The 14,570-nt window shown below is 47.9% G+C and overlaps 1 protein-coding gene across 4 annotated transcripts in view; it reads right to left on the minus strand.

The window, feature by feature from the left end:
• SCARA5 (scavenger receptor class A member 5) overlaps window positions 1-14,570 on the minus strand; it is a 122,791-nt gene that overhangs the window by 80,999 nt on the left and 27,222 nt on the right. The gene's annotated exons all lie outside the window — the stretch shown is intronic.

A 14,570-nucleotide genomic window follows, 5' to 3' on the forward strand; every position in this document is an offset into this window, starting at 1 on the left:
AAAAAAAAAAAGGTCAGTGTGGACTAAGCCATTTATTCCACAGACCTCACCAATAACTGCTGTTATAGTACCATACACAGGGACTCACCCCTTCTCAAGAGGAATGGTGGGTGCTTAATACATCATCTCATCTAAGGGTCTCCACGTTACTCAGAGGATGGCCTTAGGATCCCCACTTTACAGATAAGAAAACTGGTGCTCAAAGAGGTTTAGAAATTTGCCCAAACTCATGGAATTTTTAAAAAGAGCAGAATGGGTTTGAAATGCAAGTCCATGTAATTCTAAAATTTAGGCTAGTGAATGATACAGAGGGATTCATATATGTGCCCCCAGAAAGGTCACAGTTTAGTGTGGAGTCAGACACAGAAAACCGGTATCAATGCCTGAGCAGGACAAGAGCTGTGCTGAGTGGAGCAGGAGGGCAGTGTGGGAGCCGGAGCTGTGGTCACTCCCAAGGTCCAAAAACTGATCGGCGCCAATGGAGCTCTGAAGGTCCAGCCCAGAAATTCTCAACCCAGAGCCCCCAACAGAACCTTTAAAGAGCCCCAAAGTAGACATGGGTTTTCTTGGTGACCAACGAATGACTGGTGACCATTGATGTGTCAAGTGGTCAGGCCCCCGAGGCTCACAGGGGCAAGGCCCCCTGCCCAAGGTCACACAGCTTGTGGCAGTGCCAGGGTCAGGAGACCCGAGGCTGGACCTCCGGTGCAGAGGCCCGTCCCGTCCTGCACGGTGCCATCAGCGACTGCCCATGGCCACACGGTAAGGCAGAAGGCAAGTGTGCTCCACGCCAGGGAATGTGCCTCCTGTACCCAGAGGAGGAAGGAAAATCCTTCCTCTTCCTCATGCAGGGGAGGTTCCCTGAGACAAGGCTGGAGAAGAGGAGGTCCGGAATCCCTTCTTCCTTTCAACATTTTTCACGGGGAATGACTTCGAGCGAACTCGAACACACCAGAGAATTCCAGTCCCAGGTCCTCAGAGCATGACCCAGAAGGAGGGACATGTGAGCTCCAGGTGACATGCTCTCTTAGCCCTGAGTGCACAGGGTGTTGCTTAGAGCAGGTCACTTTTGCAGGATAGTGTCCCCTGCAAACTCATGTCCACCCAGAACCTATTTGGAAATAAACTCTTGGTAGGTGTAATCAAACTAAGATGAGGTTGTATTGGGTTGGGGACCAATATGATTAGTGTCCTTAGAAGAAGAGGGAGATCTGGACACAGAAACAGACATGTAGGGAAGAAGGTTGGGTGTCGATGGGAGCGCAGATTTTAGCAATGAGCCTACAAGCCAAGAAACAAAGGGGTGGCTGGCACCCCCAGAAGCTGGAAGAGGTAAAGAAGGATCCTTTCCCACAGCCTCTAGAGGGAGTGCAGCCTTTGCTCGTGCCTTTTTTGGACTTCCATCCTCCGAGCTGTGAGAAAATAAATTGTTATTTAAAGCCACCCGGTTTGAGGTACTTTGAGCAGTCCTAGGAGATGGACACAGCTGGGTGGTTGTTTTCTGACCATCTGGCAGTTGGAGATCAAGGGTTGGGGTGGAGATCCCAGTCTTTATGGACCAAGTCCTTGCACAGGGAGTGGTCAGGGGGCTTTCTGCCTTCGTTGCCATCACCCAGGGGACACAGGCTGCAGACCCTGCAGAGCTACTTCCCTTAGCCCTGTACTCTTCACTCCTCACAGCCAGCAAGACCTTCCTGTGGGCCTGAGAGTGACAAGCCATGCAGAGAGGCAGAATAATGAAAAATCCTATCATTCCCTGCAAATTGGTGCAGTCTTTCTATTAAGCCTTAAACATATACCCACTTTGACAGCAATACCCCAAGTAGGGACCTATCCTAAGGAAATTATTGGCCGTATGGACAATGGACTGTGTGCAAGCATTATTTATTGTAGCGAAACACTGTGAGACAGAGTGGATTTTTTTCCCACTCTCTCTTCACCCCTTTTCTAGTCGTAACACATACCCAGTTCCTTTTGGAACCAAGCACAGGCCAAGCCAGGATAACAGAAGGGAGCCTTTTGTCAAAAGTCAGAAAGAGAAAGAGAGGCAGGAACTCTTTTTTAGCACAAGAGTGAACAGGGTATTGCTTAGAGCAGATCACTTTTGCAGGATAAATGTCAGATGCATGTGGATGTCAGACCCTGAAGCAGAGCCAGAGAGGCCTGCCCTGCATCCTTTCTCTCTTCCTACAGCCCAATCCAGACGGAAAGCAGATGGCCCAAAGGCCGACAACCGGGGCCAAAGGCTAAAAGGAAGCCATGGAATGGAAGCATGAGGGAACCCAGGGGGCCAGGACATTGAAGAAACAAGGAGGCTCTCAAAAGATCAGGAAAAGGTGGCCTCTCAGGCTGTCTCGAGAGTCCGAAGCACAGAGGCATGGGTGGGTCTGCTGCAGGAGCCCTTTGCTCTTCCTGCCCACGGAGGATGCGGTGGGCCACCCACTGGGGCCCCAGCTAAGGAGCAGCCCTACATCTCCTGCACTTGCCAGCTGTGTATTTTCATTGACGCATTGCTCTGTCCAGCCCCTCAGGTAGAGAGCTGGGTAGAGGGTCCGACAGTGGAGATTCAGTTTAAACAATGATGGTAACTCCATAAAGTGGATCTTATACCTTAGACGGTTATGTTATTAATTGAAGGGAGAAAAAAGGGAGGCTGCGATGAGAGGGGACAGTGAGTTTGGGTTTGGGCCTGTTGAATCAGAAGTCCCCAGTGCCCTTCACGTGGAGCTCTCTAGACGGCAGTTGCTAGCACACAAAGAAATCAGGACTCAGAGTTATGAGAACACACATGAGATGCATGGCGAAGCCCAAAGGCAGACACAAGCTCCAAGACTCAGATCAAAACCCTGGGGTGTGCCCCTGACGGGAAGGAGGGTCGGGCCCATTGGGGGAGTCACCTTAGAAAAACATTGTATGGGAAATTTGGAGCATCTGAATAGTGAGTTTACACCCAAAAAAGGTTGAAGATTTTTTTTTTTAAATTGGCAGAGCAAAGCAATAGGCATCAAGAGCCCAGTGGGGCTCCAGAAAGTCGGGGTCTGCATCTGAGGAGCGGCTGAGACCCCAGAGGAGGGAGGCAAGGATTCCTGGGGGATTGGAGCCTCTGATGCAGGTCCCACTCTGCCACCCTGAGCAGGACACTTCCCCTCCCTGGGCCTCCGTCCCATTTACAAAGCTGAGGGCAGAACTCATCGTTCCCAGCTCTGACTGTATTGTCACCCTGTCTCTCCTTTGCTTGTGTCCTCAGGGCACTTACCCAGCTTCTGTCCCTGGCTGTTCCCAGGTACCAGGACCCTCTGCTGTCAGGGACCTTAAACCAGGAAAAGGACTAGAAGAGGCCAGCTGGCCCCTCCACCAGGGCAGTCAACACCATGCTGGGGGCTGTGTTCTCGGGGCGACAGAAGATTCCTGTGACCTCTTAAAAGGGTGGTCTTATGAACAACCCCAACAACATTAAGGAAATTGAGAGAATGTGTACCAGTAAACCTCCCACCCACTCCACCACGGTTTTCATTTCTCTAAATTCCCCTCCATCCTTTGCCCTTTGTAATATATGTTTGTTTGCACAACAGCATTCACAGTGTATACACACTAAGGGGTGCTCTTTTTTTCCCTTAACGCAATTTCATAAACACTCTCTCATGTATGTCATAGTTACATTTGAAATGGCTGCATAATACTCCTTTGTGTTAACTGTCTTTTAAACAATGCTCTGAGACTGCACACTTAGGTTCTTTCCAGCTTTGAGTGATTATGAAGAATGTGGTTGAGTTTTATACATATGCCATTTTCTTTCTTTGTACTCATTTCCTGGAGACAAATAGAAGAGGATTTCTGAGCCAAAGCATATAAACTACTTTTATAGATCCTGAAAGGTCATTGACTTCCTCAAGGAACTGGCTTGTTTAGATGTGCTAAATGGCCGCAGCCAATGGTCAGGGGACAAGTGTTAATTGGTAAATAAGCAATGCCTTTCTTTCCTTGACTCCTCCCGGAAAGATGCCATTTTTCCAAAGCTCTGGCAGAGAATACACTGAAAATGTCTCACAGAAGACAGCCTGCCAGACTGTTGTTTTTGACAACAAGCAGGAGAAACAAAGTGCTTTGCAGAAGCACTCCATCCAGCGGAACTCAGCATGGTGGGGGCTCTGTAGGATCCACCACTTCCCACCCTCAGAGGTGGCACCTTGGCATCCTACAAGTCACTTCTGACACCATTGTCACTGCCCCACCCCATGTTCATCCAGGGGCTCCAGAGACCCCTCTAGAGATGGGGATCCCTGTGACCAGTGTTACTGGCACCCCCACTAGTTGACAGCTGAGCTCAGATTGGGACTCTTACCAGACAGAAACACAGCGAGGGACCCTGGGAGATGTCCTATCATGCACCTCTTCCAGGGTTTCCCAGCAGGGCGAGACGGGAGCACAGCATGGGGCCACCCTACCCCCAGTTCCCTGCATCCCTTGGATTGCTCCAAAAAGGGTCTCAGAGAATATGAGGCCTCCAGAAGGAGCATAGAGAAAGGCAGGCACCCAGGGATGCTGCCAGCTGCCGGGCCACTCTGGGCTGCACAGAGGAAGGCCACACAGGCAAAGGAAGACTTGGGATTCCTGTCTCTGAGCTGGAAGCATGGGGTGAAGCTGAACATTGTCCTAACAAAACCAAACACACCATCTGCCTGGAGGTCCCAGCGAGGGGCCAGTAGGCTCTGCTAAAAACAGAGACAGACCAGGGAGGGCCACTGCCCAACATTCCACCCTCCACCTCCTGAAGACTGAAGACTGGACAGGAATGTGAGAGCCCTTCTGCCTCCCCCTTTTCCCTCCTGGGTGCTTCCACCAAGTATTTGGTACCTACTTTTTCTGGAAAATTACCCATTGCTTATCTAAAATTCAAGTTACTGGGCTCCTGTATTTTTATTGGCTAACATTGGCAACTCTATGTGTCGACGACTGGAGGGGTGCAGGTCAGGGTGCTGGGAGCTCCTCAGGGCTTCTGATGCATGAACATGGGGGGCAGGTGAGATACAGCTGGCAGCATGCACTGGTTTCAGGTAGATCATGGTGTCATTTACAGAGATGGAAAGGACTGGAGGAGAAGCAGGTTTGGGAGAGAAAAGTCAAGACTTCTGATTACACATTGGATTTGAGATGATGTTTGTTAAATAACCAAGTGGGGAGGCCACGAGAAGGTGGAATTCTGGCGAAGACAGAGATGGAATCTGATGGAACTTGATGGCAGTCACTAGAAAGACAGTTCAGTTAAAGAGAAGAGGAGGAGGGTAAGGGTTGGAAAACTACCTATGGGGTGCAATGTTCAGTACTTGAGTGATGCTATTTGCACTAGAAGCTCACATCACACCATTACGCAATATACCCATGTAACAAACCTGTACATACATCCCCAAACCCATAATAATATATATGCATATATAAAAGGAGAGAAAAGGGACAAGGCCTGAGATTTACAAGTAAAGCAGGTAGAGATGGGCAGCAACGGACACCTATGATTTCTTCCCTGAATTAAACTGGGACTTCTCAGAAACCTCTATTCTGAGATTTACAGGGAAATGTTTATTGAGGCCCTAGTATAAGCCAGGCATTGTGCAAAAGCACTTCATGTATTATCTCACTGAATTTTCATCATACTGATGATTACTCATTGTTATCCCCATTTTATTGGTGTTTAAAAATGAGGTCCAGAGAGGTTTAAACAATTTCCCCAGATCACAGCTCATAAATGATCAAATACTTGACCTCAGGTTTTCCTAGTTCTCAAGCTTCTGATCTGCCCTGTGCTTGATAGCATATTTTATGCATATCTGCTCTGCCAGTCAGTATGATCCTCATAGCAGGGGCCTCTCTTTATTTCTCTTCCCATCTCCCTGTGTCTCATTCGGTGCTAGGCTCGTTGTTGGCACCTGGTAAGTGTTTGTTGTTTGGGATTTGATGGGAGAGGGCCCCAAGCCTTGGGCGAGGTCAGCCAAGACACGATGCCTGCAGGACTGTCACAGAAATTCCCAGAACTTATAACTTCTCTCCAAAAGGGTGGAGGACGGGAGCTCATTAGTTGCTCAGCTTCCACGCCAGTAAAAATTCAAAGCCCCCAGTAAATGGCAAAATCTGCCTGGTAGCTCTGGGCACACCCAGCAGAAGATAGTTCCAGAAAGCAAGAGGAGAGGTGGGTTTAGGAGGCACAGAGGCCGAGGCATGGACAGGGAGGTGCAAAGCTGCAGAAGGAAGGGAGGGGTGGACTCAAGCCCACTCCCTTTCTCTTTTTGCTTAAATAGAAAAGCTCCTTTTCTTAGCAAGGGTTGGGCACTGCATGATGACTCTCAAGTTTCCTCCAATCCTGGCTCCTGGGATAGAAATCAAAGCACTTGACATGTTTCTCTTGATATTCGAAGCTGAATTACTGTGCAGTCTGTGGCACTTACACCCGGTTATAAATCACTTAACAAACACCAATGATACATCCCACCTGCTGAACACTGTTCTAGGCGGTTAACACGGATGAATTAATTTCATCCTCACCACAACACTTCGAAGTGGGCAGAGTAATCCCTTCTGCTCTGCTATACAGATGAGGACATTAAGGATCAGGTAGGTTGAAAAACTTGCCTGAGGTCACATAGCAATTGGCAAAGTCACGGTTTGTACCCTGGCAGTCTGACTCCGGTGCCATGCACTTCACCACTGGGTGTTAGATTCTGCCTCAGACCAGGAGGCTCGGGTGGGAGAAGCCCTGAATTCACGCCATTCCCAGCTGCAGTCCAGGCACCCATTCCCCAGCTGTGGGGCCGTGGGCCAGAGTAGGCAATGCGTCTAAGTCTCAGTTTCCTCATTTATAAACTGAGCTATTTTCTGGATTCCTTAGGATTGTTGTAAGAATTAGATGACACAATGTATGCAAAAATCTCTGAAAACTATAACTTGCAATCCAGGGAGGAAGGATTAAAGGGCTAATTAGTGATCAGTGAAGCCTAGCATGGGGTTGGCAAATGGTTTTCTTGTGAAGGGCCAGGTAGTAAATATTTTAGGCTCTGCAGGCACACAGACTACTGAGCCCTGCTATTGCAGCACGAAAGCAGCCAAGCAGTACACAAATGGATGAGCGTGTCTGTGTTCCAGTAAAACTTTATAAAAACAGGTGGTGGCTGGATTTGGCTCTTTGCCTAGAAGGATTGCAGTGGGATGGAGCTGAGAGATGGGTGCTCTGCAGTGTCCTGAGTGCTGTAAGTAGGGCTTTGGCTGAAGCTCTGGAGAACAGGGAGTACTTGTCAGATTCGCAGGCAGTGTTTCAGCTGTCTCTGCCCCCAACTTCTACCCGGCTCAGGCGTGGTCAGAGGCATCACCCTGGGCAGTGGAATCTTCCATGGGAAACTCAGGGTGTCAACTGGCTCTTGATCCCTCCTCCTCCCCCTCTTCCGGGGTCTGAGGTGAGACAGAGGTGCCTTCTGCAGGAGAAGCTCTGATGGCTAGGGCAGCCCGACAGAGCTGAGGTGGGGGCAGGGGAAGTACAGTGACCTGCCCAGGTGTGTGCAGTCTGAGTCTAAGGAAGAGGCTGGGGGGACTTCAAACGACCCTGACTCACCTCCCAGGATACAAGGGGTGAAATGCGTGCACGGGCTGGCAAGCCCTGGGTCATGTCCTCTCGGGAACTGCACGCGTGGCAGCAGGCTACAGAATGGGGACTATAGGGACATGGTTGGGACACTGGCTCCAACATGATTGATAGCACAGGCTGATTGTTAAAAATAAATGACAGATGTCCAAGTCCAGAGCCAAACAGATCCAGCAGACTGCAATACCTGGCAGAAACCAGTGTGCTGACATCTAACTGGGATCGCTGACAAGATCTGCATTTAACTTGAAGCAACAAGACCAACAAAGCCAGTGGCACTGACACGCAATGGGGGAGCACCTACTAGGCAATGGTTTCCTTTGAAAGAGATCTGGGGATGGGGTGAGGAGGAGATCTGACCTGATCATTGAGGGCTGCATGGTATTCCATCATTTGGATGTAGGGTCGTGTATCACTATGAGTGTCACTAGAAAGTCTCATGAGAGGTCAGGCGCGGTGGCTCATGCCTGCAATCCCAGCACGTTGGGAGGCCGAGGCAGGAAGATCACTTGAGGCCAGGAGTTTAAGACCAGCCTGGCAAACATGGCAAAACCCTGTCTCTACTAAAAATACAAAAATTAGCCCGGCTTGGTGGCATGCACCTGTAATCCCAGCTACTCAGGAGGCGGAGGCAGGAGAATCGCTTGAACCCGGGAGGCAGAGGTTGCAATGAGCTGAGATTGCACCACTGCACTCTAGCCTGGGTAACAGAGTGAGACTCTGTCTCAAAAAGAAAAAGAAAAAATAGTAAGTCTCATGAGAATTTAAACTAATATCAACATCCATGGTCACAGCCTGGCACACTCCCCCCTGGCTAGGCCACCCCAGGAGTGGTGTCTAATTCTGTTGACTACTCACACCTGGAGCCTGTTGGGAGGATGGCTATTCTGTTGAGACATTCAATTTGATCCTTCCATTAATTACCTGCTATATGTGGCACATGATGGTAGGCAGTGGGAGGACAGCTGTGAACAAGGTGCGGTGCCCTATCATGAAAGAGCTCTCCCGGACTAGGAGGAGAGCCAGCACAGAAACCAATCATTGCAATACAGCATGGTGAGTGTGAAGACCGGGGCCCAAAGACACAAAGGTGGAGGAACTGGGTTCACTTTCCTTGGTGTTACCAACTCACTGATGAGCAATCGTGAGGATGAGGAGAATGCCTTGTTATGATATGATTTGTTCCGGCAAGAAGAACTAGAAACAGTGTATGGGAAAGTCAAGGAGGACAAGGAAGGGGTTTCTGTGACTCGCAGTTGTTTTTTGGGAAAAGCACAACACCATGTCTGTCTGGGAAGTCGGGAGGGAGGTTGTAGGAGATGCCCACTGAAGCTAAGCATCTCCGTGCCATGGGTGGAGCCATTGCTGGCTCCATCGCTCCCTCCCCTAAAGAGCTACAATCCTGGAAATGCTGTTCTGTTCCTGTTTCTTGGCTTACTGAGCCCTGCGCTGTCACGGTACCTCAAGGACCTCTCCAACAATGTCTCCAGGCTTCCCTGTGTGTTTATTGGAAACATGTGCATATGGACACGTACTGCACTGAGCCTAGTTCTGTTTATAGACAAAGTTACTGGGTGTTCAGGCTAAACAAGTAGGTCTGTAATCCTTTGCTATTCTGAAAGCAAACTGTCTCTGATTGTGGGAATAATAATATCAAATATTTCTGGAGCACTTTTTTTTTTTTTTTTAAAGACAGGATCTCGCTCTGTCACTGAGGCTGGAGCGCAATGATGCAATCATGGCTCACTACGACCTTGAACTCCTGGGCTCGAGTGATCCTCCTACATCAGCCTCCTGAGTAGCTGGGACTACAGGTACATATCACTATACCTGGCTCATTTTTTAATTATTCGTAGAGATGAGGTCTCACTATGTTGCCCAAACTCATCTCAAACTTTTAGGCTCAAGCAATCCTCCTGCCTCGGCCTCCCAAGAGCTGCAATTACAGGCATGAGCCACTGTCCCAGCCTACTGAGTACTTACGTGCCAGGCAGTGAAAGAGTTTTAATTTTTCATGTATTATTTAATTCAGTCCTCACAACAGCCCCATGGGGTAGGCACCACGATCAACCCATTGTACAGATGAAAAAACCAAGTCCCTTGGAGGTTAAATTATTTGCCTCAAAATGATAGAGCCATTCCATAGTACAGCCTCGATTTGAACCCAGAAGTCTGGCCTCAAAGTCCATATCCTGAAGAGAATATAGCTACTCCCAGAATGCTCGAAAGACACAGAGAACAATAGAAGTATCATGTAGCCCATTGTTTTTCAGACTACAGCTTATATCCTGTTCATGAATTATGAAATAAATGAGTTGTGATCATGTTAAAAAAACATAAATAGAATAGAGTAGAAAGGCATTACAAATTTAAGTATTATCTCAGCTATGCTTATGTGTGTGTACTGGTTGTGTAGGTCATGGTAAAAAATGTTTGAGACCACCAATCTTGCCCAATTTGCTCACTTTACAAATGGGTGAACTCCCATTCAGACAGCAAAGTGATGTTCCCAAGGTTACAGAGCCTTCACAGATAACCTGGGGCTAAACCCTAGGTTATGCTATCAAGGTTAATTGACTGCAAAGAAAACGAAGAAAAAGTAAGAGTGACGATGCTAATAATAGTGGTAATACCAATGCCAGCAATAACAATAGCTACTACTCCAAATCTCATGTTGAAGTCAGATCCCCAGTGTTGGAGGTGAGGCCTAGTGGGAGGTCTTTGGACCATGGGGGTGGATACCCTCATGAATGTCTTGGCATCCCCCTCATGGTAATGAGTGAGTTCTTGCTCCATTAGTTCACATGAGAACCAGTTGTTTAAAGACGGTGGACCTCCTCCTTTCTGTTTCTTGCCACATGACGTGCCTACTCCCCATTGTCTTCTGCCATGACTGGAAGCTTCCTGAGGCCTTACCAGAGACCAAGGAGATGCTAGTGCCATGCTTGTACAGCCTACGAAACCATGAGCCAAATAAACCTGTTTTCTTTATAAGTTATCCCATGTTAGGCATTCCTTTTTAGCAATGCAAAACAGACTAATATAGGGAGTACGCTGATTTCCCCCGTTTTCAGAGAAGGGAGTTCTTGGCCAAGTGCCTCGGCCAATGTCACATAGCTGGTGATAGAGAAGCCAGGGTTCCAACTCAGACAGGCTGGCTCCAAAGTCCCTACTTGTAACCAGCGTGAAGTCTACACGGTCCTGCCTGTCTCAATATTCTTCTTAAATGCTGTAATGTCAATGCAGTATATAACATGGTAGATGTGTTAATATAATCACACACCTGCCACTTCTACTAGCTAAATGTCCCTGGGTAGCAATTCCATATTCATCTCAATTAGGTACTTGGTTAAAACTGAAATAATCATCTTTTTTTTCTACAAATATTTTCTAGATTCCCTTGTCTCTGTCATTCATTCACATATTAAAAACATCATGCATTTGAAGAATCAAGTAGAATAGGCAGAAATTTTTGTAAAGATAAAACTGTACATAATACCCTTCCTTGTTCCGTAAAGAATTAAGGCAATTCACAAGGATACATTAACTACACTAAGATTAAAGTAGATGAGATGCAGGTAAAGAAGATCAAGTAGAGAGACCCCGAATGAAGCCAGGAAGGAGACTAACACAAAAATGCTTTCCTGAAGTCTCTATACTTGCTGCAGGTGGACCACAATTCTGTCCCCAGGTTTTTGTTTTAATGACCTTCAAATTCACATATCCTCATACAAGGGATGACAGCTGACTCTTAAGTTTGTGTTAATTACCTCCTTGAAAGTAATTTTAAAGACTTTCAGATTCACAGTCTCCATAAGGTGAAAACAAATTCCTCGAGGAACACATAACTCCTTCTATGACTGAGACAGAAAATAATTGGTGCATGGGTCCCCTGAGTACAGCATTGTGTAATGCAACAAATAACATCCTCAACATCATTCTTACAATAAGCACAAGGGGTGAAATTTCACAGGGTTGTTTCTGACAGTGTCCCAATAAAGGTTGATGGCATTATGCTCCTATTCCCAAGATGCGTGATAGAATCAGGAAGCTACAGTGTAGATGGACATGGGCTCTGAGCATATTGTTCTTTCCTGCAAAGTCCAGGGACAGACCTGCTTGAAACAAGGTGATCCAAAAAAGGGATACTCAGTTCAAAGCCAGGTGGACAACTCTCCGCAGGCCAAGCCTTTCCCCAACCATTCCAGCCCTCAGAGATTGGGCTCTCCTTTGTATAATTTGGCAACAGCAGAAACTACGTCACATTGCCCGACAATGGGTGTATGTATTCATGATTTTAAACCCTCCTGTGCAGGGCCTACATCTCATGACGTTTTATTCCTAGGGCTTGTCCCTTTGCCCTGCACTCACCGAACACTCATGAACAAATTCAGCACTTGTTGAGGATGATGATGACAACGACCGAATGGTGCTGTTAGAAAAGAACTAATTTAAGGTGCAGGAGGAGCCCATATTTCCCTAGGGACTCTCCCTGTAGACCAGTGGTCTTGCTACATTGCTGCGATGCTGCAGCCTCACCCCACATTCGAATCCCAGATCTTTTCACTTCCCCTTTCTGCTGTTTCATTTCCACAGTGAGAATTCAGACTTATCTACAGAGCTGTCTCAGGAAAGGGGAAGAAGAGATGGTTCCTGATGACCACACCCAGTCACCACAGTGACTGCCTAGAAGAGCCATAGGTAAGACTGAGCTCCCTCTGACCCCTTAATTCTATTGCAAAGGACATCTTGCCTGAAGTGCTGGATTGAGGACCCCCTGGCCACACGACCAGGCAATCTCAATTCTTTAGTTCATGAACTTAAACCTGATGGTCTCTACTGTTCAAAAATGAATCGGGAACAGAATGAAAACATAATAGGGAACGGTCAGCCAAGGTAATAATCAAAATGTGTTGAAGAGATAGAAAAGCTTAGAGGTATTGGAGGTAGGAGGAGGCTCTTGCCGTCTCCTTGGGAGATGATGACAGGCTATGAGCTAAGGGAAGAGAACCCAGTGCCAGCATGGGATTATTGGAGTAAAGCTCCCAGGAGGACACTGGTCAGGTTGGATGATGGGCAGAATCCAACTGATAGAATAATTTGGGTGGTGGCCGGATTAACCTTCAAACAGGTAAACTTGGATAATGCATAAACGTGAGGTACATGTTTGCCTTTTACTTTCAGTATTTGGGCAAGAAGATGAATTGAGAAAAGTCCTATGTGGGGCTTATAAGACTCATATTTTGGTGTAGTTTGATTACAGATTTTTCATACTGGGAAACAGTAAGAGTAAGCATTTGCACACCGAGATGTTGCTAATCCCATATTCAGATATGGCACTGGGTTGCAGTGGACAATTTTGTCATCCAGTTGTAGGAGCTATGAGATTTGCATTGACAAGGAGGTTTTAAGAATGGTTTAAATGGATCTCCTGTGCAAGGTGACCTCTCTGGGCACAGGCAGTGAGTTCTACCCAAGAAGGGGAAGCCCTCTCCCATGGCAGGACACCCAACAGAAGGCCAGGCAAGCTCTTCTTCACACTGGACTGTGGATCTCCCCTGACCCCTGATCTTGGTATCTCTGAGAAGGAGCATCGCTGAGGTCTTCAATCAGGCAATCTTAAGAAACCTCTCTAAGATCAGACAGAGCCTCCTTAAAGAACCTCAGACTTGTCCACCATCTTGCCAAGTCCCTTTCCTATGCTGCCCTCACCAAACCTCCCCCAGAGGCCAGCATGATTCTCCAGACAAGAATCTGGGGAGGTAAGAGCGGCCACACACCCAGGGCCAAGAGATCAGGTACGACATTGTTGCACCAGCTCCGTCCCAATCCACCCCAAATTTTTGTTCAACACAGGCAATGTGGTACCCAGAAACTTCAGGTTCTAAGATAATTATAATGATCAGAAAAATGCTGGAACAATTAAGGAGGTATGGCAACATTTCTATTAGATTGGGAAACCATGTTCCACCCTCCTTTCTGAAGCTTCCAGGACATTATTATAAACCTCATTCAATCTCCAAGCCAGGAGAAAGCCTTTTTTTCATCATACTGGACGGCACTACTTGTTAGCAAACTGTCCTTTATTTTGAATGGAAATCTGTCTCCTAATAACATCCACCTGTTGGTCCTAGCTCTGCCTTCTGGGGTCACATAGAGTATGTCTACCCTTTCCACATGGCAGCCATCCAGACACCAGAAGAGAACCGTCACTCCACTGCAAGTCTTCTCTTCCCCAAGAGACGATGCCCTTCCAGGACCTCCAGAGGCCTGCCCCAAACCCCCCACCAGCCTGGTCCCTCTCCTCCAGACCCCCATCTGTCACCTAAAAGTTCCTGTTCTGCAGAGCTTTTCTGTATCTGTCACCTAAAAGTCCCTGTTCTGGTTTCCTGTTGGGCTGGAATGCTTTCTGAACATTCCAGAAATTTGTTATGGTCCTCGCAGCCAAACCCACAAAACTCAGATCCCAAGCTCTCACCAAGCAGCCCGAGAACATGTTCAAATCCTCCTCTGGCCCACTCGGCCTGCGAGGGACCCTGCTGGCCCCTGTCCTCTGGTCCCAGGGATGAATAATGAGGTTCTCTCGTTGTTGCTGTTGGCTGCCCCTCAGGTTGCTCATTGATGGGACAGACTCCACCCCAATGTCTTTGCCCTGAGTGTGGAAACCTGAAGGCTCAGGCAGCATTGAACACCCCATTACATCACCCAACTGACTAGTCCCGCTTGACGGAAAGTGAATCAAGACCGGGGAGGTCCTGGCCATTTGCCTCAAAATTTCCAGCAAAAGGTCATCTATCTGTAAGGGCTGGACCTCCAGATTCCTGCCCTGGGCTTCACCCGAGGGCCCCTCCCTCAGTGCTCCAAGTCAGCTCGGCCTGGCCAGCAGCCTCGCTCCCACCAACTCCACCTGCTTCATGCAGCAGCCGCACCTCCCTCTATGTGCCTG

The sequence above is a fragment of the Homo sapiens genome, chromosome 8 (assembly GCF_000001405.40).
Source record: "Homo sapiens chromosome 8, GRCh38.p14 Primary Assembly".
NCBI classification, from domain to species: domain Eukaryota; kingdom Metazoa; phylum Chordata; class Mammalia; order Primates; family Hominidae; genus Homo; species Homo sapiens.